The sequence below is a fragment of the Homo sapiens genome, chromosome 4, assembly GCF_000001405.40.
Source record: "Homo sapiens chromosome 4, GRCh38.p14 Primary Assembly".
NCBI lineage: Eukaryota > Metazoa > Chordata > Mammalia > Primates > Hominidae > Homo > Homo sapiens.
The window spans coordinates 189,391,703-189,394,998 of NC_000004.12; positions in this window are offsets into that span (position 1 = coordinate 189,391,703).

Genomic DNA, 3,296 nt, shown 5'->3' on the forward strand with positions numbered 1-3,296 from the left:
GTAAGCAAATAACTTCTCAGAAAGCATACTTCACGCCCCCAAGGAGCAGAAACCCTTCTAAGGAAACAGGAGCTCGTTAACTAACCTAAATGAGAACATATGCATAATGGCACCTGAAATTGCCCTTTCAGGTGGCAAAGTACAAACCCTGAATTCCAGAAGAATCTATGCAACAATATACCAGCCTCCCTGTCAAATTCAAACCATATACAACATGAAATACATTGAGAACACAGTAACTGTGGCCCTTTATATAGATACCATATGTCAAGCGCGTCCGTGTGAAGAGACCACCAAAACAGGCTTTGTGTGAGTAACAAGGATGTTTATTCACTTGGGTGCAAATGGGCTGAGTCCAAACAGAGAGTCAGCGACGGGAGATGGGGAAGGGGTTGCTTTATAGGAGTTGGGTAGGTAATGGAAAATTACAGTAAAAGGTGGTTATCTATTGTTAGCAGAGGAGGGGGTTACAAGGTACATAGTGGGGAGATCATAAGACTCATTGTCCAGAAGAGGAATGTCACAAAGTCGATTGATCAGCTAAGGTAGGGCAGGGACAAGTCAAAATGGTAAAATGTTGTAATTTTGGTTAATCAGGTAAGGCAGGAACTGGCTGTTTTACTTCTTTGGGGTTTTTTCGCTGCTCCAGACTTCTTGGCTCCTGCAGGCCACCTGGATGTGTATGTGCAGGTCACAGGGGTTATAATGGCTGAGCTTTGGCTCAGAGGCCTGACACCATAGGTATACGACACAACACAATTTTTTTTTTTAGAGTGAGATTATAGTGATATTTATTTTTATTATTATACTTTAAGTTTTAGGGTACATGTGCACAATGTGCAGGTTTGTTACATATGTATACATGTGCCATGTTTGTGTGCTGCACCCATTAACTCGTCATTTAACATTAGGTATATCTCCTAATGCTATCCTTCCCCCCCACCCCCACCCAACAACAGGCCGCTGTGTGTGATGTTCCCCTTCCTGTGTCCATGTGTTGTCATTGTTCAATTCCCACCTATGAGTGAGAACATGTGGTGTTTGGTTTTTTGTCCTCGCGATAGTTTGCTGAGAATGATGGTTTCCAGCTTCATCCATGTCCCTGCAAAGGACATGAACTCATCCTTTTTTATGGCTGCATAGTATTCCATGGTGTATATGTGCCACATTTTCTTAATCCAGTCTATCATTGTTGGACATTTGGGTTGGTTCAAAGTCTTTGCTGTTGTGAATAGTGCCACAATAAACATATGTGTGCATGTGTCTTTATAGCAGCATGTTTTATAATCCTTTGGGTATATACCCAGTAAAGGGGTGGCTGGGTCAAATGGTATTTCTAGTTCTAGATCCCTGAGGAATCACCATACGGACTTCCACAATGGTTGAACTAGTTCACCGTCCCACCAACAGTGTAAAAGTGTTCCTCTTTCTCCACATCCTCTCCAGCACCTGTTGTTTCCTGACTTTTTAATGATCACCATTCTAACTGGTGTGAGATGGTATCTCATTGTGGTTTTGATTTGCATTTCTCTGATGGCCAGTGATGGTGAGCATTTTTTCATGTGTCTTTTGGCTGCATAAATGTCTTCTTTTGAGAAGTGTCTGTTCATATCCTTTGCCCACTTTTTGATGGGGTTGTTTTATTCTTGTAAATTTGTTTGAGTTCATTGTAGATTCTGGATATTAGCCCTTTGTCAGATGAGTAGATTGCAAAAATTTTCTCCCATTTTGTAGGTTGCCTGTTCACTTTGATGGTAGTTTCTTTTGCTGTGCAGAAGGTGTTTAGTTTAATTAGATCCCATTTGTCAATTTTGGCTTTTGTTGCCATTGCTTTTGGTGTTTTAGACATGAAGTCCTTGCCCATGACTATGTCCTGAATGGTACTGCCTAGGTTTTCTTCTAGGGTTTTTATGGTTTTAGGTCTCAAGCTACCAATGACTTTCTTCACAGAATTGGAAAAAACTAGTTTAAAGTTCATATGGAACCAAAAAAGAGCCTGCATTGCCAAGTCCATCCTCAGCCAAAAGAACAAAACTGGAGGCATCACGCTACCTGACTTCAAACTATACTACAAGGCTACAGTAACCAAAACAGCATGGTACTGCTACCAAAACAGATATAGACCAATGGAAAAGAACAGAACCCTCAGAAATAATGCCACATATCTACAACTATCTGATCTTTGACAAACCTGACAAAAACAAGAAATGGGGAAAGGATTCCCTATTTCATAAATGGTGCTGGGAAAACTGGCTAGCCCTATGTAGAAAGCTGAAACTGGATCCCTTACTTACACCTTATACAAAAATTAATTCAAGATGGATTAAAGACAACACAAATTTTTGAATTCTGTTTAGATTTTCAAAAGCTGGGGCAAATTTCATTCTAGGAGTCAGCTTTGATGAAGTTTCTTGATTCTCATCTTTATTTAATTCCCCTCCAATTTTTAACAGGTAACAGTCTAGACTGGAGATACTAGGTTTTAAAGTAAATAGTCAACAGAAGAAGTAAAAGCATCATTTACTGCCTCATAGAATTCTAGTTGGAAAGGGCTTGGGGGAGAAGCTGGTCTATAGGCTTAGCATCTGGGAGGAGGAAAGGGACCCCTGGAGAAGATGAATATGCCACCAGGCGACACAGCTCATCAGAGGCCATGCTCAGACTCAAGCACTGTCTTTTCATTCAAACTGGAGCTGTGCTACTCTTTTCCAGTTTGGTACTTGACACATCCAAATAAAATTTACAACCTCTACCTGGGATAAGAACTCTGCCAGCCTCAGATCTACCTCTTATGGACGGAAAAAAAGAAAGTAAAATTATGCTGAGAGATTTTGTTCTTGGAACCTCTCAAATTCTCTCTCCCAGCAAATCAAAGCTCATACCCTGAGAAGAACGGATCATTGTCCCTGAAGTTGATTAGAAATCTATTGATAATATTTCATCACCTATAGTGCGCCATGGACGTTTTCAGATTCTGGCTCACAGATGTGAAGTAGTTGCATTGTTGTGGATAACGATTCATTTGCTTTAACTCCACCTTTGCCCTTTTTCATTTGTCGGGATTGATTTCCTTTCTCCATATAATTTCACTTGTCACTATTCATGACTTGAGAATTGACCCTCTCCTTTCTGCACCTTCCTTCACAAGCCAACCTCTATTCTCAAAAACAATTGAAATTGAACATTAATAAAATATTATTGAAGATGGCTTTTATGAAAATGCTTGCTTTGGATTATTTTCTTACTAATATAAAGTGCTGTTCTTCAGATATACCCTATAAACGAATACCAAATAG